This window comes from Homo sapiens, chromosome 4 (assembly GCF_000001405.40).
Source record: "Homo sapiens chromosome 4, GRCh38.p14 Primary Assembly".
Lineage (NCBI taxonomy): Eukaryota > Metazoa > Chordata > Mammalia > Primates > Hominidae > Homo > Homo sapiens.
In genome coordinates this window covers 73,529,257-73,553,517 of record NC_000004.12, presented here as the reverse complement: position 1 = coordinate 73,553,517, position 24,261 = coordinate 73,529,257, and the positions used below count along the sequence as shown (strand labels likewise).

Sequence of the window (24,261 nt, the reverse complement as noted above, 5' to 3'; positions counted from 1 at the left end):
ATTCAGGAGCAGGTTGTTCAGTTTCCATGTAGTTGAGTGGTTTTGAGTGAGTTTCTTAATCCTGAGTTCTAGTTTGATTGCACTGTGGTCTGAGAGACAGTTTGTTACAATTTCTGTTCTTTTACATTTGCTGAGGAGAGCTTTACTTCCAACTATGTGGTCAATTTTGGAATAGGTGTGGTGCGGTGCTGAAAAAAATGTATGTTCTGTTGATTTGGGGTGGAGAGTTCTGTAGATGTCTATTAGGTCTGCTTGGTGCAGAGCTGAGTTCAATTCCCAGTTATCCTTGTTAACTTTCTGTCTCGTTGATCTGTCTAATGTTGATAGTGGGGTGTTAAAGTCTCCCATTATTAATGTGTGGGAGTCTAAGTCTCTTTGTAGGTCACTCAGGACTTGCTTTATGAAACTGGGTGCTCCTGTATTGGGTGCAGATATATTTAGGATAGTTAGCTCTTCTTGTTGAATTGATCCCTTTACCATTATGTAATGGCCTTCTTTGTCTCTTTTGATCTTTGTTGGTTTAAACTCTGTTTTATCAGAGACTAGGATTGCAACCCCTGCCTTTTTTTTGTTTTCCATTTGCTTGGTAGATCTCCCTCCATCCTTTTATTTTGAGCCTATGTGTGTCTCTGCATGTGAGATGGGTTTCCTGAATACAGCACACTGATGGGTCTTGACTCTTTATCCAATTTGCCAGTCTGTGTCTTTTAATTGGAGCATTTAGTCCATTTACATTTAAAGTTAATATTGTTACGTGTGAATTTGATCCTGTCATTTTGATGCTAGCTGGTTATTTTGCTCGTTAGTTGATGCAGTTTCTTCCTAGCCTCGATGGTCTTTACAACTTGGCATGATTTTGCAGTGGCTGGTACCAGTTTTTCCTTTCCATGTTTAGTGCTTCCTTCAGGAGCTCTTTTAGGGCAGGCCTGTTGGTGACAAAATCCCTCAGCATTTTCTTGTGTGTAAAGGATTTTATTTCTCCTTCACTTATGAAACTTAGTTTGGCTGGATATGAAATTCTGGGTTGAAAATTCTTTTCTTTAAGAATGTTGAATATTGGCCCCCACTCTCTTCTGGCTTGTAGAGTTTCTGCCGAGAGATCCGCTGTTAGTCTGATGGGCTTCCCTTTGTGGGTAACCCGACCTTTCTCTCTGCCTGTCCTTAACATTTTTTCCTTCATTTCAACTTTGGTGAATCTGACAATTATGTGTCTTGGAGTTGCTCTTCTCAAGGAGTATCTTTGTGGCATTCTCTGTATTTCCTGAATCTGAATGTTGGCCTGCCTTGCTAGATTAGGGAAGTTCTCCTGGATAATATCCTGCAGTGTTTTCCAACTTGGTTCCATTCTCCCCGTCACTTTCAGGTACACCAATCAGATGTAGATTTGGTCTTTTCACATAGTCCCATATTTCTTGGAGGCTTTGTTCGTTTCTTTTTATTCTTTTTTCTCTCAACTTCCCTTCTCACTTCATTTCATTCATTTCATCTTCCATCACTGATACCCTTTCTTCTAGTTGATCGCATTGGCTCCTGAGGCTTCTACATTCTTCATGTAGTTCTTGAGCCTTGGCTTTCAGCTCCATCAGCTCCTTTAAGCACTTCTCTGTATTGCTTATTCTAGTTATACATTTGTCTAAATTTTTTTCAAAGTTTTCAACTTCTTTGCCTTTGGTTTGAACTTCCTCCTGTAGCTCTGAGTAGTTTCATCATCTGAAGCCTTCTTCTCTCCACTCGTCAAAGTCATTCTCCATCCAGCTTTGTTCCGTTGCTGGTGAGGAACTGTGTTCCTTTGGAGGAGGAGAGGAACTCTGCTTTTTAGAGTTCCAGTTTTTCTGCTCTGTTTTTTCCCCATCTTTGTGGTTTTATCTACTTTTGGTCTTTGATGATGGTGACGTACAGATGGGTTTTTGGTGTGGATGTCCTTTCTGTTTGTTAGTTTTCCTTCTAACAGACAGGACCCTCAGCTGCAGGTCTGTTGGAGTTTCCTAGATGTCCACTCCAGACTCTGTTTGCCTGGGTAACAGCAGCATTGGCTGCAGAACAGCGGATTTTCGTGAACCACGAATGCTGCTGTCTGATCGTTCCTCTGGAAGTTTTGTCTCAGAGGAGTACCCAGCCATGTGAGGTGTCAGTCTGCCCCTACTCGGGGGTGCCTCCCAGTTAGGCTGCTCAGGGGTCAGGGGTCAGGGACCCACTTGAGGAGGCAGTCTGCCGGTTCTCAGATCTCCAGCTGCATGCTGGGAGAACCACTGCTCTCTTCAAAGCTGTCAGACAGGGATATTTAAGTCTGCAGAGGTTACTGCTGTCTTTTTGTTTGTGTGTGCCCTGCTCCCAGAGGTGGAGCCTACAGAGGCAGGTAGGCCTCCTTGAGCTGTGGTGGGCTCCACCCAGTTCGAGCTTCCCGGCTGCTTTGTTTACCTAAGCAAGCCTGGGCAATGGTGTGCGCCCCTCCCCCAGCCTCGCTGCCGCCTTGCAGTTTGATCTCAGACTGCTGTGCTAGCAATCGGCGAGACTCCGTGGGCATAGGACCCTCCAAGCCAGGTGCAGGATATAATCTCCTGGTGTGCCGCTTTTTAAGCCTGTCAGAAAAGTGCAGTATTCAGGTGGGAGTGACCCGATTTTCCAGGTGCCGTCTGTCACCCCTTTCTTTGACTAGGAAAGGGAACTCCCTGACACCTTGTGCTTCCCGAGTGAGGCAATGCCTCACCCTGCTTCAGCTTGCGTGCAGTGTGCTGCACCCACTCTCCTGTGCCCACTGTCTGGCACTCCCTAGTGAGATGAACCCAGTACCTCAGATGGAAAAGCAGAAATCACCCATCTTCTGCGTCGCTCATGATGGGAGCTGTAGACTGGAGCTGTTCCTATTCAGCCATCTTGGCTTCTTCCCCCCCAGTTTTGAGTTTTTTAACCATTAAGTTGAAGATTGTTGTTGGGCAAAAAGCATAAGAAAAAGCACACAAAAATCTTTCTATTTTTTTATTGATGAAGTAGTTCAAGCAAGTAGTATTCAGGCTCAAGAGCAAAAACATTTCAAGAAAATTTCCTTGGAAATTCACTTGGCACTTCACTTCAGCAGAAGTGTTTACTGAGTAGATACAAAATTGTAACTCAGAGAGATGTTTTCCTAATGTTTCATAAAAACTAAAAAGACTTTAAAATAAATAAATGGATTTTGGTGTAGGTGAGTTTATTTGTTTTGTACTAGTTCAGGGGTCAGCAAACATTTTCTGTGAAGAGAAATATTTGGGGCTTTACAGTTCATAAAGCAGTAGTTACTCATTCTGCTGCTGTAGCCTGAATGCAGCAGTGATAGACAATTTTTAAATAAATGGATGTGACCATTTACCAATAAAATTTTATTTATATAAACAGGAAGCAGAGCTTGTTTAGCTCAAGGGCTATGTAGTTTGCTTAATCTTGACTAAACTATAGACATATGACTTAACATAAGCATATGTGCAGTTCAGCTGAACAGGTAAAAAGGAGCCACTGCAGGTAAAGGCATTCATGAAAATTATTACCTTTGAAAACATTTCCCAAGGCCATTATTAAACTTAACCCAAGTCCTCACCAGCCCCAGCCTATTTTGCCAAAGCACAAAGCTACTTTGTGTTTGGTTTGTTTGGTTTTGTTAACTATACACTTGCATTTCTCTATTCAGACACTATCACCTGCTATATCTGAGTTTCCGCTCCTAAAGTCATATCACTGGTAGAGCAATCTGTGTCAGATCTCCCTGCCTCAGAGAATTTGCATGAATTTACTGTGCTACACGCTACCATGATATTCTCAGCAATTTAAGTCACACAACTATCTTGTGAAAAATAATTTACTTATTAACTATACACAATTATATTAATTGTATAAGTAGTCTCCTGGCAGTTGGTGTGTATGCATAGACTAGGACACTTTTTTCTCCTGTCCTTGATCTTTCCTCTATTCCTCAACCTCTATTCTCATGAACTTCAGACCACTGAGAAAATAAAATATTTTTTTACCTTGTTCCCTAGTTAAACCCCAAACCACATTCAGTGACTCTTTCTGATTATGCCCCAGAAACTTCTAGAACAAACCTCCCATTTAAAAGATACGCTTTTAAATTGTTATTTCTTTAAAATTTCTCTATATTTTCCAAGGATACCATTTCTGTACAATTACCAATGTTTTTCAATTCATCCTCTTTCCACCAACTGCCAATTCTAAGCATTCCCCCTCCAGCTGGGATCTTGACTGCTGTATTCATCTCTACTCATGTCTAGTCCTCCTGGTTTCCTCAAATGTTCATAAATATTAACATATTCTAAACCCAAATATAGCCAATTACTCCAATCCACCTAGACTGTGATTTTTCTCCTAATCCACTCATGATTGGAATGGGAAATGGTCTTGGCATTTTTTGTGGTAACTTTTATTTATTTTTTTACTTTAATAAACCCTAAGAGTGCTGAGAGAATAAACATGGAAACAAGGGAGTGTCTTGAAAACACAGTTTCACTTTTCTTTCCTTGGCAGCTCATCTCCAACAGGTGAACCAAATCCACAAAAATTGATTGGAACTGCATCCCTGTTGCACATGGTTCCTGCTTCACAAGGTTGTTCAGAAGCCGACATCAGAAATGAGGAGCAAAAACACAAGCACTCCCTAAGTTCTGGAAGGCCATCCTACAAGACTGCCTGCCTTGTTTAGAGACATGCACCAGCCAGACCTCTTCATTGTTCTCACTTTTATGGGTAAAGGCCGCTAAAAGGCCCTGATGTCCTCAGACTTCATAATATCCATCTCTGTTTTCAAGTTTATTAAACATATTTTTTCTGCAAGCAAACCTCCTAAACAGAATTATTACATTAAATTCTCTTTATGTGCTTATTATTAGGATAAACATTTTTGTTTTCTACTCTTTTCATTGTATATGTACCCATTGCATATGTAGTGGAATATTACAGAGACATTTTGGGAAGGAAGGTCACCCCACCAGATTATTTTGAAGAATAATAACCCCCCAGAAATGCTGTTTTGAAGAATAATGACAAAAATGCAAACATTATATGTTTGAAAAGCTATATTTAAAATAAAGGCAGTAGCCAATATCTTTTGAGTATATTAACATTTACCATAATTCATGCAATGTGCTAATAATTTTATATGTTATGTTATGCTTTCTATTGCCTTCTTTAAAAAGTTCCATATTATCTCCAGCTTGCATTTGTAACAGTGGTTTCACACTCCTTGGGAATAATTTAATCTGGACACATATAACAACAGGTGGGGTGCCCTTTCTTTTCAGAATGCATGAAGGTCGGGAACTACTTGTGAGAATTGATCCTGACATAAGAGGCCAGGCTCAAAGACTTCTACTCAGCAGGAAAGGCTTTCTTGGTTAGGGGAAGACAGGAGTAATCCTGTGGTTCCCAGCTGGGCCTCCACTAGACTCATTTCTAAGTCATGCAAGGATTAGGGTATGAAAACTACCAAAAAAGTACTTTCACTAGAATCTTGCAAACTGTTAAGACACAAATAGCCTTTCTATGGCACCCACTAAACATATACAATCCTCAGGGTAAGGGAGAGGTATTATCTTCCCTTCAGAATAAAACATAAAGAAGCTTTGCCATTTCAAGGAATCCAGTTTGCAACTGAGCAAGAGGAAACTGTACCTGGAGAGCATAACTATTCCCCATGGCGCAGGAGTAGTGCCCAGGAGAGCTACCATGGAGAATTCCTGAGAGGTGGAAAGGGGCGAGGAGTTTCATAAGCTCCTCTCAGAGGATTCTAGGGATAATCACTGGAACTGAAATTCTGTATAAGCAGTGAGTAGCAACAGCCTGCAACACCTGAATTATTCACCATTTAGATCCAAAGATTGATAGTCAGAAGGCAATTGTGAAAGTGTGCACACATATGTGCACTGTGTGTGTGTGTGCCTGTGTGTGTGCGTGTGTGTGCTTTAAAGTAACCTTATAGAAAGGCAGTGACTAAGACCCTTTCCTTGTTCCCAACTTCCTGTTAGGGTGTCGATTTTAGATCTTTCTGGCTTTCTCTTGTAGGCATTTTAGTGCTATAAATTTCCTTCTACACACTGCTTTAAATGGGTCCCAGAGATTCTGGTACGTTGTGTCTTTGCTCTCATTGGTTTCAAAGAACATCTTTATTTCTGCCTTCATTTCATTATTTACCCAGTAGTCATTCAGGAGCAGGTTGTGCAGTTTCTGTGTACTTGTGCACTTTCGAGTGAGTTTCTTAATCCTGAGTTCTAATTTGATTGCACTGTGGTCTGAGAGACTTTGTTATGATTTCTGTTCTTTTGCATTTGCAGAGGAGTGTTTTACTTCCAATTATGTGGTCAGCTTTAGAATAAGTGCAACGTGGTGCTGTAAAGAATGTATATTCTGTTGATTTGGGGTGGAGAGTTCTTAAATATGTCTATTAGGTCAGCTTGGTGCAGAGCTGAGTTCAAGTCCTGGATATCTTTGTTAATTTTCTGTCTCGTTGATCTAATATTGACAGTGGGGTTTTAAAGTCTCCCACTATTATTGTGGGGGAGTTTAAGTCTCTTTGTAGGTCTCCAAGGACTTGCTTCATGAATCTGGGTGCTCCTGTATTGGGTGCATATATATTTAGGATAGTTAGCTCTTCTTGTTGCATTGATCCCTTTACCATTATGTAATGGCCTTCTTTGTCTCTTTTGATCTTTTTTGGCTTAAAGTCTATTTTATCAGAGACTAGGATTGAAACCTATGTCTTTTTTTGCTTTCCATTTGCTTGGTAAATATTCCTCCATCCCTTTATTTTGAGCCTATGTGTGTCTCTGCATGTGAAATGGGCCTCCTAAATACAGCACACGGATGGGTCTTGACTCTTTGTCCAATTTGCCAGTCTGTGTCTTTTAATTGGGTCATTTAGCCTGTTTACATTTAAGGTTAATATTGTTATATGTGAATGTGATCCTGTCATTACGATGCTAGCTGGTTATTTTGCCTGTTATTTGATGCAGTTTCTTCACAGCGTCGACGGTCTTTACAATTTGGTATGTTTTTGCAGTGGCTGGTACCAGTTATTCCATTCCATGTTTAGTGCTTCCTTCAGGAGCTCTTTTAGGGCAGGCCTGGTGGTGACAAAATCTCTCAGCATTTGCTCTTGTGTAAAGGATTTTATTTCTCCTTTACTTATGAAGCTTAGTTTGGCTGGATATGAAATTTGGGGTTGAAAATTCCTTCTATAAGAATGTTGAATATTGGCCCCCACTCTCTTCTGGCTTGTAGGGTTTCTGCCAAGAGATCTGCTGTTAGTCTGATGGGCTTCCCTTTGTGGGTAACCCGACCTTTCTTTCTGGCTTCCCTTTACATTTTTCCCTTCATTTCAGCCTTGGTGAATCTGGCAATTATGTGTCTTGGGGTTGCTCTTCTTGAGGAGTATCTTCATGGTGTTTCTGTATTTCCTGAATTTGGATGTTGGCCTTCCTTGCTATGTTGGGGAAGTTCTCCTGGATAATATCCTGCAGAGTGTTTTCCAACTTGGTTCCATTCTTCCCGTCACTTTCAGGTACACCAATCAGATGTAGATTTGGTCTTTTCACATAGTCCCATATTTCTTGGAGGCTTTGTTTTCTTCTTTTCACTCTTTTATCTCTAATCTTGTCTTCTTGCTTTATTTCATTGAGTTGATCTTCAATCTCTGATATCCTTTCTTCCACTTCATCGATTCGGCTATTGATACTTGTGTATGCTTCACGAAGTTCTCATGCTGTGTTTTTCAGCTCCTTCAGGTTATTTATCTTCTCCTCTAAACTGGTTATTCTAGTGAGCAATTTGAATTTGTCTTATCTTTTTTCAAGGTTATTCCTTGCATTGGGTTAGGACATGCTCCTTTAGCTCAGGGGAGTTTGTTATTACCCACCTTCTGAAGCCTACTTTGGTCAGTTCGTCAAACTCATTCTCTGTCCAGTTTGGTGCCCTTGCTGGTGAGGAGTTGTGATCCTTTGGAAGAGAGGAGGTGTTCTCGTTTTTGAAATTTTCAGCCTTTTTGAGCTGGTTTCTCCCCATCATCATGGATTTATCTACCTTTGGTCTTTGATGTTGGTGACGTTCAGGTGAGGTCTCTGAGTGGATGTCCTTTTTGTTGATGCTGATACTATTCCTATTCCTTTCTGTTTATTAGTTTTCTTTCTAACAGTCAGGCCCCTCTTCTGCAGATCTGCTGGAGTTTGATGGAGGTCCACTCCAGACCCTGTTTGCCTGGGTATCACCAGTGGAGGCTGCAGAACAGCAAAGATTGCTGCCTGATCTTTCCTCTGGAAGCTTCATCTCGGGGGGCACCCACCAGATGCCAGCCGGAGCTCTCCTGTATATGTCTGTGGGCCCCTGCTGGGAGGTGTCTGCCAGTCAGGATAAACAGGGGTCAGGGACCCACTTGAGGAGGCAGTCTGTCCCTTATCAGAGCTCGAACGCTGTGCTAGGAGAACCATTGCTCTCTCTTCAGAGCTGTCAGGCAGGGACATTTAAGTCTACTGAAGCTGTGCCCACAGCCACCCCCTTCTCCCAGGTGCTCTGTCTTAGGCAGATGGGGGTTTTATCTATAAGTCCCTGACTGGGGCTGCTGCCTTTTTTTTCAGAGATGCCCTGTGCAGAGAGGAGGCACAGCAGCCTTGCTGAGCTGTGGTGGGCTCCGCCCAGTTCAAACTTTCTAGTGTCTTTGTTTACACTGTGAGGGGAAAACTGCCTACTCAAGCCTCAGCAATGGCGGGTGCCCCTCCCCCCACCAAGTTCCAGCATCCCAGGTCCAGTTCAGACTGCTGTGCTGGTAGCAAGAATTTCAAGCCAGTGGATCTTAGCTTACTGGTCTCCTTGAGGGTGGGACCCACCAAGCCAGACCACTTGGCTTCCTGGCTTCAGGCCCTTTCCAGGGGAGTGAATGGTTCTGTCTCACTGGCGCTCCAGATGCCACTGGGGTATGAAAAAAAAAACTCCTGCAGCCAGTTCAGTGTCTGCCCAAATGCCACCCAGTTTTGTGCTTAAAACCCAGGGCCCTGGTGGGGTGGGCACAGGAGGGAATCTCCTGGTCTGCAGGTTGTGAAGACCATGGGAAAAGTGCAGTATCTGGGCCGGAGTGCACTGTTCCTCCCAGTACAGTCTCTCACAGCTTCCCTTGGCTAAGGGAGAGAATTCCTCAACCCCTTGTGCTTCCTGGGTGAGGCGATGCCCCACCCTGCTTCAGCTCGCCCTTCGTGGGCTGCACCCACTGTCCAACCAGCCCCAGTGAGATGAACCAGGTACCTCAGTTGGAAATGCAGAAATCACCCTCCTTCTGCATCGATCTCATGGGAGCTGCAGACCATAGCTCTTCCTATTCAGCCATCCTGCCAGCCTCCCCTCCTTGCTCCCAAGTTCCTAAGTCTCAGGCTGCCTGTGGCACCAGGACTGCTGCCCCTGGGTCCCCCGCATTCCAGGGCAATGATGGAAGAAGGGGAAGCCAGGCCAAGCATGAGGAATAAACAGTCTTCAGTGGGCTTAAACCAGGAGTCCATGGGTCTTGAGGACCTCTGTGTATTTGTCAGTTTTCTTCTCTACATTCTTTTTGGCCTGTTTCCATAGCCTCATGAGCTGTTTCTTATGGTAGTGGAACTTGGTCTTCTCCTTTCTCTTTTCCTCCAGGGTAGCTGTCATTGCCTGGTACTTCCAGCCAACATCATGAGCCAGGCGCTCCCGACATTTATATATATATATATATATATATATATATATATATATATATATATACACACACACACACACTATATTTCTATACTATATATAGCGTATATATTTCTATATATACTATATATACTATGTTATATATACTATATATACTATGTTATATATACTATATATACTATGTTATATATACTATATATACTATGTATATATATACTATATATACTACGTATATATATACTATATATACTACGTATATGTAGTGTATATATATACTATATATACTACGTATATGTAGTGTATATATATACTATATATACTACGTATATGTAGTGTATATATATACTATATATACTACGTATATGTAGTGTATATATATACTATATATACTACGTATATGTAGTGTATATATATACTATATATACTACGTATATGTAGTGTATATATATACTATATATACTACGTATATGTAGTGTATATATATACTATATATACTACGTATATGTAGTGTATATATATACTATATATACTACGTATATGTAGTGTATATATATACTATATATACTACGTATATGTAGTGTATATATATACTATATATACTACGTATATGTAGTGTATATATATACTATATATACTACGTATATGTAGTGTATATATATACTATATATACTACGTATATGTAGTGTATATATATACTATATATACTATGTATATTTCTATATATTTCTATACTATATAGAATATATAGTATATATTTCCATACTATATTTCTATATATATATTTCTATACTATACATATCTATGTTTATAATGGATTTCTCTGCATGTTGCAATTAAATGATTGTTATTTTTTCTTTCTACTCTTCTGTATTTTCTAGATTTCCTGCAATAATTATGCATTACTTAATAGTAAAATAAATTAATATTTTAATAAAAATTAGGATAAGTAATATTTTTCTATACAACTATTCTGTACATATTCAGTCTTCATTCTAAATTAGGCCTAACTTGAAAAAAAAAACCGTGTTTGTGTCTCTATATTATTCAAGTCTGTATGACTAGGATATATTGTCAAATCAGATTGTACTACTTTTGAATAAGAATCATTTTTAACAAATTAATTCTTTAAAGTGATAAATATAGACTACTTCCCATTGGAATTGGTGGATTTTGTCTCAAAATATATTTTTTTACAGGAACAATATTGTTCGTGAGACTGAAATTCACTGGCAAACCCATAAAAGCTTAAGTCCCACATTACAGAAAGCAATCACTCCATGGGTAGCCTGGAGAAAATAAAATCACAGACCCTTCAGGCCTATGCAATGAGATTGCTCCATTTACAAAGCCTACTTGGGGCTTCCAAGGCCTGGCATAGGGGATTCAGCCCTGCAAGGAAGGGGACAAAGTTTACTGCTAGTTCATGCAAAATCTGGACTTCTCTTTTCTTCTAATATCACAAAAAGGGCACAAACTTTGAAGTCAAATGGACTTTGGTTTTAGTTAGGTCCTCCACTTACTCGTCTGTAATGGTAGTTGAGACACTTAACCTCTCTGATTTTCATCTATAAGAAGAAAACTTGAGCACTTATCATGCAAGGTTTTTGTGAGGACCGTAAATAACGCATTAAAAGGCTAAGCACAGTGCCCAGCACACTGAAGGCACTCAGCACATGAGAATGTGTTGATTCCCAAAGCAACAGAAACTTTGTCTCACTCAGCAAGATGGTATTATTGGACTAATAATATTTAGACCCTGCTTTGACAGAGTGAAACTTAGAGTAAATAAATTTGTGGAAATAAGCTGCCACTTCTTATAATCTTGGAGGAGGAGAAATAATATGAACCAGGGCCTGTGTTCTCCTGAAAACAGGAGCAGAGGTGTGCAAAGAGGCCAGGAAGGGTGGCTGGACACTGGAAGGGAACTGCCCCACTGTCAGGGGGGCACATTCTGCTAGTTCTGGGAAACTAGAATTTTACTATCTGACTTTTCCTAGAATAGTCATTTTTGGTAGATTCCAACAAAGGCCCCTAGCATCACTTTCATCACCAATGGAAACCATTCCAACAGAGAATGCATGGCCAAGGGACTGTCTTGGGTCTTGGCTCAGTCGTGGGAGAGGTGGGAGTGGAGAGATGGATGATTGATGGCACTAAGAAAGATATTTCTATGTCTATAGAAAAAAAAAATGTGCCTGACTCTTTTTCAAGACCCTGATAGGTGACTCAGTTCACCTCGATGGGTAGGATAGAAAGAATCAAAGGAACTGCCAGTCATTTGTAAGATCTCAATCACATTATGTTATCAGTAGCCAAGGCAAGACCAGCTACCCTGAGGTTGTGCATGCCACGTGTGCAACTGCCAAGGCCAAGCCCTTCATGCCCCATTCACCTCAGTCCCAGTCAGAAATTGAAGGCTCCCAAATCATGCTCCATCACACTGATGTTTTCCACATCTATAACCTGACCCATCGACTGCTCTCCCTGCCCTATTTAACTCTTCCTCTGACTCCTTCATAATCTGTGGCTTTTAGAAAACTTCCCTATATCCACAGCCTCTTCTCTGAACTTCTCTTTCTGGCTCTATACAAAACATGAGAGGCTCTCGTGAGAACAAAGCTTCCCCCCACAACCTGTCAGGAGGAGGCTATTTTTGCTTGAAAACCACTTACTTTAGCATCTGGTTCCTTTTTACTGCTTCCAATGTATCTCTCCATTCTCTTCTAAAAGCTGTAGCTTTTTTGAAGTACATGCCATTAAATCTGACAAATTCCAGATCCCTATTTATTTTATCCCACACAGAGAAAACCTAGTCATTCTCCTCATTTTTGATGACTTCAGACCCAGTTAATTGCCTCACTTTCCATGATTATCATGTCATTCATTATTCTCTGTAATTTCAACAACTACATTAATGATCCACATGCATGTTGGAGATTAGAACTTTCAGAACAGGCAAAGTCACGGATGTGGTTACCGAGTTCTCAATGCAGACAAACTGTTGCTTATGTCTCAGTGGGCAACATTTGGTGACAGCAGCTACCATCATCTTTGTGAACACAATCTACTCTATTTGTTTGAGACAGGAGTCTCACCCTGTTGCCCAGGCTGGAGTGCAGGGGCGCGATCTTGGCTCACTGCAACCTCCACCTCCCAGGTTCAAGTAATTCTCCTGCCTCAGCCTCCCAAGTAGCTGGGATTAGAGGCATGCATCACAATGCCTGGCGAATTTTACAACCAACTCTTGAGCAGATGGTTGTGGGGCTTTCTTACTGTAGAAGACTATGAACCTAAAAGAATATTTCCTCTTACTCCTGGCAATGACTGTTTGACCAAACATGAATTCTACCAAGCTTTCCTGAGTACCTGACATGATCTCTGATTTAGGATGAACACAGCATTAAACTGAGTTTAATTATATCCTTTCAGCCCTTATTCAAATGGCTCAATGGCTCTTTCAGTACACCTGGAAATGTCTTTTCACCTCAGGCATTGCTCTACCCTGACCCATCTTTTTTCTACTCATTAAGGTACTATGAAAGCTTATTTGGATAGCTGCAAAATCAGACTTGTAGTAAACAGCTTCTAAAATAAATATATGCATAGGTCATTAAAGCTTTTATTGATTTTCTAGCATGTGTAGGAATAGGGCTACAGCAACCATCAGGAAACAGTCCTATTCTCAGAGGGCTCACACCCTAGTGGGGGAGATAGACAGTACATTGGATGTATTAAGAGGAGTACCAAGTGCTGTGGGTGCTGCAAGGACACATAAGAAATTAAAAATAGGAAGCTTAATTCTATTAAAAATAGAAAAAGGCCTTACCCTTCCCTCCTTTTTTCTTAGTGTATTTACTTTAGAAAACTTAAAATTATTAGTACTGTCTCCTCTCTTTGAAATGTACACAAATCCTATTGAAAACCAGATATATTTTTTGTCAGCGTTATGCGCCAGAAATGTCTTTCTCAAGGACCTGAGAGACATCTTTTTGAAATACAAACAAGAAAAATAGCACCCCTATCTCCAAGTTTCTGTGGGAAGGTTTGCTTCAAGTTGCAAGACTACCTTCTCCCATAAAAATATAAGAAGTTTTTGTTTGGTTTTTGTTTGGGGTTAGTTTCCCCCACTCCCTGATAAAGCCACTTAGCTAACACAGTTAGTCACTCTAATCACTGAATAAAGTTAAGATTAATTACGTGTGATAAATGGTACGGCCAAGTTCTCTCACTTGAGGATGAGTTATTGTTTATATTAAAAACACGTGTGTAATGGGTTATGTCCATTTGGCTGCATAACAGGGTAAGATTTCCTTTAGTCTTTGGAATCTCTTAGTGGATGGCCTATGATGCACATTGCATATTGGTTTAATGCTTATTCAATTTTCTAAAAAACTAGATTATTTCTCCACTACCTTTGTGGAGAGGTTTCCCGAGGTGGGAGAAGATTTTGTTTACTTACATTTCCCCAACAGTGCACAAAGAACGGCATCTAATTCCATCCCATGGAGGTCAAGCAGGCTGCCCAAAGGAAATGATATCTAAGCTAAGATCTGACAATAACTCTGAATGAGCCAGGCGAAGTGGGGTGAGGGTGAGAGGGGAGTCTTTGGAAAGTTATTGAATGTCGTTTTATTTTCTTGAATGGAGGTGGTTTGAAAAGAGAGGAGGAGGCAGGGAGAAGAAAGAAAGCCTAGCTACAAAATCAGATTTACATTGTCTTTAAAATAGTTATTATTTCTTTATAATGAATGGATTGGAGATGGGCAGGAGGCAAAGTGAGGGAAGAAGCAGTTCAAAAGCTGTTTCCACCATTCAGGTGAGAGATGATGATGGCCTAAACTACGAGAGTAGTGGTGGAAGTCAGAAGATATGGAGAGAGATTTTAATAAGAAAGACTCTACGCAATTACATGTTGAGGACAACAAAGTATTAGAACCAATTACTACATTTATAATAGAAATGGAGTTGCGGGAAGAATTTAGTTTCTATAACAATCAATGAAACAGTCAACCTAATCAAGTGGTTCTCAAAGTGTGAACCCTGAACCAGAGTATCGGCATCACTGGTAATTTGTTAGAAGTGCAGATTCTCAGGCCTCATCTCAGACTTACTGGATCTGAAACTCGGGGTGGGGGAGTCTGTGCGTTTTAGTAAGTTTTCCAGGAAATTTTGAGGCCCCCTGGAGTTTGAGAACCATAGATCTAATTTTTATCCTGGGCATTAGCAACTGAATACAACATTTCTTTAAAAAAAAAAGTAATACGCCAAAAACTCTCTAAAATAAGAATAGCTTTTCTGGATCCATTATTCTGGATATTTAATTTAAGCTCAATATCTTAGGCTAATATAGCAAACTAAACTTTTCCTCAATACTCTGCTTTGACACAGAATTATAGTAAAATCTCAAAGATTACTCAAAATTGGCTTTTGTTTTTTGACAATTGAATTTTTGAAATACGAGGGGATTTCCCAGGCTCCCTGCCCACAAGAAAGGGTGTATGTTCCCACAGGCAAATAACTAATATATCTGTTTAGCTCTCTTCTTGGTGATGAAAATGCGAAATTTGCTCTGTGGATCTGACTTGAAACTGGAAAAGGAACCCTGGATTAGATCTCTGTCAGTCTTGACTCAAAATCATAGGCAAAGCCCCAAACTAAATGTTCAGGTGTGAGGGAGAGGTCTCTATGGGATTGCAGGAGGGCAGTCAGAGCCTGCTTTGCACCCTGACCTCTGGGCATTGTCTGGTATCAGAGGAATTGGCCTGGAAAGTAGTGTGAAGGCACCCAAAGTTAGGTTGCTGTCTATCTCATCAGAGAGAGCTAGGTTAATTCTCAGCTGACTTTTTTCCTTGGTCTCTGACATTTTTAAGTTTGGATGTAAACTCTTAGCAACTCTCAGCATCCGGAATGAACTAAAACCATCAAGCACAAATGTGAACACTATCTTACAGGCATCCCTGTCATGGAAGTTACTACCTCCTAACTTCTCATGTAAATCATAATGATTTTTTTACATGATAATTGCTTTTTACATACCACTCTTTGCAAAATCTGCTTCTGAAAAATAGAGATAATCAGTGTTAAACTATCATTGCAATAATTTATCTTAAGATTGCAAAAACATATTCTCATATAGTATAATGTAACTGTTTTCCTAAACCCAAAGCTTTATTTAGTTACTGAGTTTGCAAATATTGGAAGTCAAGTTTTGCTAAAAGGGAAACTGCCATGTATTTTGTGGAGAAAAAGTGGGACAGCAAGACTGGCCTTCAATTTTCTGTGTTATAAACTCATTTGTGGCCTTAAATGAAATACTTTACAAACACAAGGCAAATTATTTATCAAGCCAGAAAGAGAACCTTAGAGCTATTTTATCAAGGTAAGTTTGATTGGTCAGTGTGCATGTGTATGTATTGGTTATTTCAATAAAATGGGCTTTTTACATAAATGGCACAGATACAGAGATATAGACGTAGGTATAGAAATATAGATACATATTAAGAAGCCATGATTTAATAAAAGCATATACTTTTTATTTAGTAAAATATTTAGTATTTAGTAATAGTAATAGTAATAGATACATATTAAGAAGCCATGATTTAATAAAAGCATATACTTTTTATTTAGTAAAATATTAGTATTTAGTAAAATACTCCATGAATATAAATTGAAGTGAATTAAATGGATTCTCGAGAGAAAGACAAATTCAGAGTTCTTGAACCATGAATATAAGATTCCAGTGGGAAGGTACCAATAACCTTGTAGGCTTAGTTGTTTAGCAAGAGCGCTGGTTATCAGCTTAATTAGTCAGACCTAGTCCACCTTATCCTAACGAGCAGTGGCTGTTATAGGGAAAATTGTTATTGTTTTTGCAAACAGTTGGCCTGAATTTCACACTTAGCCCTGTCCTTACTGACTGTGTGACATCAGGCAAGTCACTTGAACCTCTTGAAACTCAATACTCTACCATCTATAAAATGTACTTAGTGACTCAGGCTGTTGTAATCAAATAGGACACTGGTTGTAAAGCTGCTTTGTAAACTCTAAATGTCCATTCTCAATCCCAGCACTTTGGGAGGCCGAGGCGGGCGGATCACGAGGTCAGGAGATGGAGACCATCCTGGCTAACGCGGTGAAACCCCATCTCTACTAAAAATACAAAAAAATTATCCGGGAGTGGTGGCAGGCACCTGTAGACTCAGCTACTCTGGAGGCTGAGGCAGGAGAATGGCATGAACCCAGGAGGCAGAGCTTGCAGTGAGCCGAGATTGCGCCACTGTACTCCAGCCTGGGTGACAGAGCGAGACTCCATCTCAAAAAAAAAAAAAAAAAGTCATTCTCCTGTAAGGTGTTATTATCATAATGACTCTTGTGGAGGCCTAACAGTGATGCCATCAGACAGTGCTTACCTGCAGGAGGCTAAATCACTCTCACTTATCCTTCTTTATGGGAAAGAAAGATGCTAGGCATACCTGCTTGAGCCCACTCAGGACAAGAGATGTTTTTGCCCTTCATTCTTCCATTTCTCCCCTCCACTCTAATAGTCTGTGCTGTCTTGCTATCTGCTACTATGCCAAGCAAACAGCTACATTCACTGTAAAGAAGAGATTGCAGAAGCTTCATGAAACACAGAATCCATAAGTCAGTGACTCATCCATAGAGTTGCTATAGTATGGTGATGTGGCCTGTGGTTTAGACGGAAATTTTATTTCTTGTCTAGTGTTTGCAGTTAGCAAAAACATGCACAATCATTTACGAAAGCATGGAACTACTAATAGCACTAGAATATTGCCTATTTTTATAATCATTTGTGAGAAAGGGGGTTTTTGCTTTTTTTTTATTTTTAAGAAAATTGTCCCACAGCTATAGCATTCCAAAGGGTTTTCTAATTTGTAGCACTTTCTCAATCCATTTTTATATACTATATCCACTCTTAAAATCACTGGAACTGCCAACTTTGGATATCTTTTTGAATATTCATAAGGAAACCTGTATCATATGAAACACATTAAAAGGTAAACAATAAAAGTCTGAGGTCATGAAGTTTTCCACAAAAGCCAATTATGACTATTAAATTTTAACTGACCTTAAAGCATTTGGAAACCTGGAAAGCTAGAAGAGAGGTTTTATTGCCTACATTTTAAGATAAGAAAATCAAATCAATACATGATTTTTTTTGTTTGTTTGTTTTTGAGACAGGGTCTCACAATGTTGCCTAGGCTGGAATGTAGTGGTGCGATCACCCCTCACTGCAATCTTTACCTCCTGGGCTTAAGAGGTTCTCCCGTCTCAGCCTCCCAAGTAGCTGGGACTACAGGCATGGGCTACCACACCCAGTTAATTTTTTAATTTCTTGTAGAGACAGGATGTCACTACGTTGCTCAGGTTGCTTTTGAACTCCTGGCCTCAAACAGTCCTTCTGCCTCAACCTCCCAAAGTGCTGGGATTACAGGCATAAGCCACTGTATCTGGCCAATTACATGATCTTTCTAAAGTCACACAGTAATGAGTGGCAGATTTAGAACTTGAGCCCGAAACATCCTGATTAACAACGGGTAGTTTCTGGCTCAGAGACTCTATTTACTTTTACTAAAAATAATTTCAAGTGTTTGGTGAGAATACACTTTTCCTAATAATCTTTAAGACTAAATTTTATATTAGTAAGTATGACCATTTTTTCAAAAAAAGTGCTGGCTGCCTGTCCCAAATAAACTTTTAAGTGAACCATCCATACATAATCTAAACATTCTTCTATGTCACAAGAAAGAGAAATTCGAACTCTAGAATATTTTCAAAGGAACAGAATTATAGAAGGGATCTTTGAAGTTATCTTCCAACCACCTTAATTTACAGTTGTAACACAAAAGCCTGGGTAAATCAAATGACTTGACCTCCATTCCACAGCTATGCACTCAAAACTAGGACTGGAACTCACATTTCCCAACTCACAGTCCAATGTGCTTTCCACTAGGAAGTTGTGCCTGTCAACATTTTACTACCAAATGCAAGTTTAGACATTTATAATAAGTGAGTTCAGATGGCAGCATTTACCTTTATTAACCAGTATCAAATATAATTTTGGAAATATAACTAAGATTATTCTACAAAGAACTTTGAGGAAAACTGAGATTCTGTTGTTCTGTTTAGCTCTAAATAACACTCCCTAAAGGGACTTTGGAAATATTTCCATTTCCAGACAATTTCCACAGCAATAATGTATTAGTGTATATTGAAATCAGTTTGCCTAGTTAATATACACTTCTGAATGCACACCAGAGATGTTAATACCCCAACTCTCTAATCTTTAAATGTTTTACCAAGGGTCTGGCAGTAGATATTAAGTTAATTAAAACAGAAGAGCTGACAAAGTATATGAATCTAAAGCTCTTGCTTATTTCTAAGTCCCTTAAAACAAAACCTGCATACACTTGACTTCATCTTTTTTTTTTAAATTCCTATGTTAGTTGTGAACATTTAAATACCAAGACATTTCTAGCTTCTCTCAAAATGCAGGAGACCCAACTACCTGAAGTCTGAGTTCCCATATGGCAATGTTTCTGGTGCTGAACAGTCACTGCCACCTCTGGACTCTACAAAGCATCTCCTCCTGCCCACAGTTCCCACTCCATCCCTGGCTGGCCCTTGTGGTCATTCGAGTTTGCAACCCTTCCCAAGGAATTCATAAATACATATTCTATCACTAAGAGTTTACAGAAAAACTGTATTATGCTTGTAGGAATTCTGGCTTGTAAGTGAATTGTTTGCATACAAATTGGTCTTCTGTAGAACTGCTGAGTGGCAGGGATGAAAGGTCAGGTGTGTCAGCATTTTCTGAGTTAATATGCCTTCCCCTTGGAATGGCACTGGCTGTTCACAGGATTGAGTGACCTTGCTGGATAGGATAGCCTGTTTAGAGCAGGGGTAGTTTATAAGCTGGCTCTATAAAACATAAAAAGGAGAAGTTATTTTTGAAGATTTCATTCTGAGATTATTTTTTATTGTTCTTAACAGAAAAACAGAGAAAAAGTTGGTAACTTATATTGCTTTATCCCTGGCAAACTGAGAGAACAAAGAGATCATTTATAGTGACTCACTCTAACAAAGAAAGCTTCTCTGCTTGACCATACTCAAGTGTCACAAGATTTTCAAACATCTCTTAAAGAACATAAGAGGAGACAGACTGTATTATTGTTCCCGTGTTTAGCCCAACAAAGTACAAATGGAGAGTTTTATTGTTTTTCTATTGTTGTTCTTATTTTAAGATCACAGTTTGGGAAGTATTTCATCTCTGAACCACATCACTATTTGTTAATTTACTATACACGTTGTATATTATTACTACTACACTTCCGTATGTACTAATAAACATATATACACAAATAATTGTGTATGGGTGTGAATAAGCTAGTCTCTACATTTAGAAACTCACACTTGGAGAGTGAAACAATTAAACAATACCAAGAGTGAAACAAACAATACCAATTATAATACATTATAAATAGAAGTTGTAAGAAAAGTACACATATAATGGTTTAGAAGAAAGAAGAGGGACTGGCTCCAGACTGGATGGAGGTCACCATGAAGATCTTGAACAATTTGAATCTTAAAGGACAAATAGAAGTTAGCTTGAAACAGCTGAAGAAAAAGAAGAGCATTTAGAACTATTCATCTTTATATATAAAGAGTCTTAGAGGTATAAAAACATGACATTTGGGAAATGACATACAAGGTATTTAGAGGCTATTGAGAAAAATTACCTTTAAAATGGTGAGGTTTGAACCAAATCAATGTCCAGATAGACTTAAGCACTTCTGAAAGGTAGAACTGATAATTTTAATAAACAACAATTAGTTTAGAAACAAAGTAGAGTGAAGAAAAATAATCTAGAATAATATAGGAGACTGGGTTGATGGTAGCACAATTTATTAAAATTGATATTCAGGAAAAAAGAACAGGTTTGAGGAGCGTGGCTAAAAAGCAAATCCAAATAGTTTGCTGTGTGAATATAGAGCTCAAGGATATTTAAGACTTCCGTGTAGCATCTACACATCTCTAAGCAGTCATGGATATAAACTAAGGGTTCAGGAAAGAAGAATTGGATGAAGATCTAAATCTAAGAGTGATACGTTGAAGCTACATTATGGCATCAGGTTAAGGCTGATAAGGCTGAGTGTGTGCAGCAATTAAGTAACTAGATGCACATGTATCCCTGAACTTAAAATGAAAGTTAAATTTAAAAACAAAAGAAGTTGCTTAGATAAGCAATGAAATATAAGGTTGACCAGCCTTCAAAATTTATCCATCCTCACTTTCCTAGCTAAATCTATTATCATAAAGACAAAAAGTATAAGATGCTTGGGTTTCCCTTGCTTCTGTTGACAATTGAGCAACATCCCTGAAATTTCTCTGGAAATAGGGAGTCTGGGCCTGCCCTGTAAGGAGAACTGAGCTTCCAGGAAGCCCAGTGTTGTCCTAAGTTGGAGAAAGTGATGTTAGGTAAATGTATGTCCTCAGAGGTCCACTTGTATAGAAACACAGTCTGGGCCAGGGAAGAAGCACACTGGGCAACAATCTCTTCCACCCCCAGCCCCACTTTTTCAGTTTCACGTGATGTTGGAGCAAAATTGTTCCTAGCTTCCAAGAGAAAAAAATACCTTTTCTCCTCCAGCCTTTACAATGCAGAAAAATTCAGTAAGTGCCTGAATCTGAACATCCAAAATCTTTTGTTCTCTGAGAAAGAGACTAAAGGATTTGAATGGATGGAATAAGTTGAAGTAGGAGATGACAAGGGCAGTTGAGGATTATGCCTTTTCATCTACATCTACGGCACTATGTGCCCTATTAGAACAGGCAAGTAACATAAGTGGAGAGAAAGGAGCCAGGTTTCCATTAACAGACTTTGTAAAATGAGAGATAAATGATTTTTCAAACAGGTTTAATCAAAAGGGGTGATTAACAACAGCAACAAAGTCTACAAATCTAGATATAACTTACACTGCTTTTTCTACTTCATAAGTAAATTTAATTACAGCATCTGTAAGAAACTTAAACAAATATATAAGAAAAAACAAACAAACAACCCCATCAAAAAGTGGGCAAAAGATATGAACAAGCACTTTTCAAAATAATTTCACATAAATTATGATATCTCAAAGATAATTCTCTAATATATTTTTGTTGCATTCTAGCTGTGATTAGAAAAAAACAGTTTATTAAAGAAGTCTTGCAGTAACAGAAAAAGTTAATCTCATTATTAATAAAGAAGGAAACAAAGATAAAAATTGTGTTTCTCTTCGAAATTAAAAAGTCTTCTACTGAGTTGTTTAAAAGAGGCCAAAATGCAGAAGTATAGCATGGTGTGTTTTATAAAATCTTTCTTTCCCAAAGATCACTTGTTCCGGAATCTCAAGCATTTAGAACATAAGTGAGCACAAGAAAGTAAGCAATCAAAAGTTCAGAGAGCCACCAGAACAAATTTCAATAATGTCTTAGAGTTGTATTTTGCTTTCATCCAAGTTACTAACCGTGTTATTTGGAACATATCTCATACTCATACTCATACTCCTAATCTTAAGTGTATGTTCCAGTTTTGTAATATATATTAGTGAACTCCCTCATCCCCTCAAATATTCATATCTTTAACTTAGGATTACTGCCAACTCTCTTACCAAGAAATGTTTCTAAATAAATAAAAACATAATTATGGAAAAAGAAGTACAGGCATGTTTTGTTAGGGTTGCAAAATTTTGGAAATAAATAAAATGGTTCAACAGAAGGGAAGGGTGACAGTTAAATAAATAATGTTCATTATTCTTGAGAAGATATATACTTCTAGTACAAAGTAGGTATGTCTAAATCTCTAATCAAAATTGTATATTCAGTGTGATCATATCATGTATAAAATAAAATCTGTGACTAGAAAAAAATAAGACAAGAAAATATACCAAAATTGGTATCTCTTTGTGGTAAGGATATAAGTCATATTTTAAAATTTCAGGGCCTGGTACGGTGGCTCAAGCCTGTAATCCCAGCACTTTGGGAGGTCGAGGCAGGTGGATTACTTGAGGTCAGGAGTTCCAGACCAGTCTGGCCAACTTGGTGAAACCCTGTCTGTGCTAAAAATACAAAAAAAAAAAAAAAAAAACAAAAATACCTGGGCATTGTGGTGCATGCCTGTAATCCCAACTACTCAGGAGGCTGAGGCAGGAGAATCACTTGAACCAGGGAGGCAGAGGTTGCAGTGAGCCAAGATCATGTCACTGCACTCCAGCCTGGACGATAGAGCCAGACTCTGTCTCAAAAAGAAATAAATAAATAAACGAAAGTTTAGAACAACTCCATATTTTTATTAAAAACATTATATTGATCACATATTGTTTTTACTATGAGTAACTGTACCTTACAGTGAGGTTTTCAAAAACAAGTTAGAAAATGCATGCAAAGGTGATATTCAAACCATAAAACTGGCATGATAATAATATTTTTATTTAATGAATATTATTAAATAAAATTTAATTATATTTTATAATTTATTATTATTTTGTTGTATCATACTCATTCAAAATCAAAAACAAGCAAATGTATTCACTTCTTCATAAGAGATTCTCTGAGGCTTTCCCTCATAGATCACATTATCTGATCATAGATAGAATGTTTATGCAATCTATTATGTAATTTTCTCTGAGAAAGGAGCAAACGCCACTAGGTACAGACACCCTGGCAGCAGCAAGGCTATAAACATCACAAAATGAGGAAGAAAAAGGAATCCCTAGCTTATGAGCATCTGCTTATGCTTAGCATTATAGGTGCATATTACACATTTAGCAAAAAATTTCCACTGAAAAAAATTAAGATTATGAAAACCTTGTAACTTAAAATAGTGTAAGTTATCTAAAAAGCTCACCTCTGTAAAAAAAAAAAAAAAAAAAAAGTCATTCTTTAGAAATGCTAGGTAATGGAATATAATAAGTCTGTGCATGAATACTGGTTTTTGGGGTTTAAATTAGTTTGAAACCGAAAGAAAACTATGACTGTTCTGCCTAGAAATTCAGAATTGGCTTCTAAAGGAATTGCAGTTCACCAGGAAAAGAAAGGAGAAGGAGGTAAGAAATATATATAAATAGGTTTAATGAAAATACCTGCAATCATTGAGTATGTAGCATATGCCAGAAACTCTTTAGACATAATATTTAATTTATGATATGAAGAACTCAACTTTTAAAATAGGCAACATTCTAATGGGCTTTGGAAGAAGATGAGATAATTTCTCACTGAGAAGATCAAAGAAGATGACAAAGGAAAATTCAGCACTGCATTTAGCCTTGAGGAATTCATCAGAATCTTTATCAAACTACTAATAATTTTCAGCATGCCTTTTGGAAAAGCCATCTGGTACTCTACCTCCTCCTGTAAAGTAAAGACGGCTATTGAGCATGCCAAAAAGTACCTTTAACCTGGAATTAATCACTGATTTACATCTACACAATAAAGGAGTAAAGGCAATAGTTATAAATATTAAGTGTGTCAATTGTATTTTGCAAAGGTGGCTACAACAATATCTCCTATACTATGCTC

At 38.6% G+C, this 24,261-nt stretch overlaps 1 long non-coding RNA gene across 1 annotated transcript, besides 2 other annotated features; it reads right to left on the bottom strand.

Moving 5' to 3' along the window:
• Window positions 1-13,292: 13,292 nt before the first annotated feature.
• LOC107986287 (uncharacterized) lies at window positions 13,293-22,652 on the bottom strand. Its single transcript, XR_001741722.2, has 2 exons — window positions 20,445-22,652; window positions 13,293-19,626 (listed from the first exon to the last, which is right to left on the bottom strand). It is a non-coding gene; the product is annotated as an uncharacterized LOC107986287 (long non-coding RNA).
• Window positions 15,378-15,427: an enhancer, noted in NCBI's record as "active region_21612". NCBI's record gives its function as "activates an Ori minimal core promoter by ATAC-STARR-seq in GM12878 lymphoblastoid cells {active_cell/tissue: GM12878}" and the evidence as "EXISTENCE:reporter gene assay evidence [ECO:0000049][PMID:35858748]".
• Window positions 17,189-17,238: an enhancer, noted in NCBI's record as "active region_21611". NCBI's record gives its function as "activates an Ori minimal core promoter by ATAC-STARR-seq in GM12878 lymphoblastoid cells {active_cell/tissue: GM12878}" and the evidence as "EXISTENCE:reporter gene assay evidence [ECO:0000049][PMID:35858748]".
• Window positions 22,653-24,261: the final 1,609 nt, after the last annotated feature.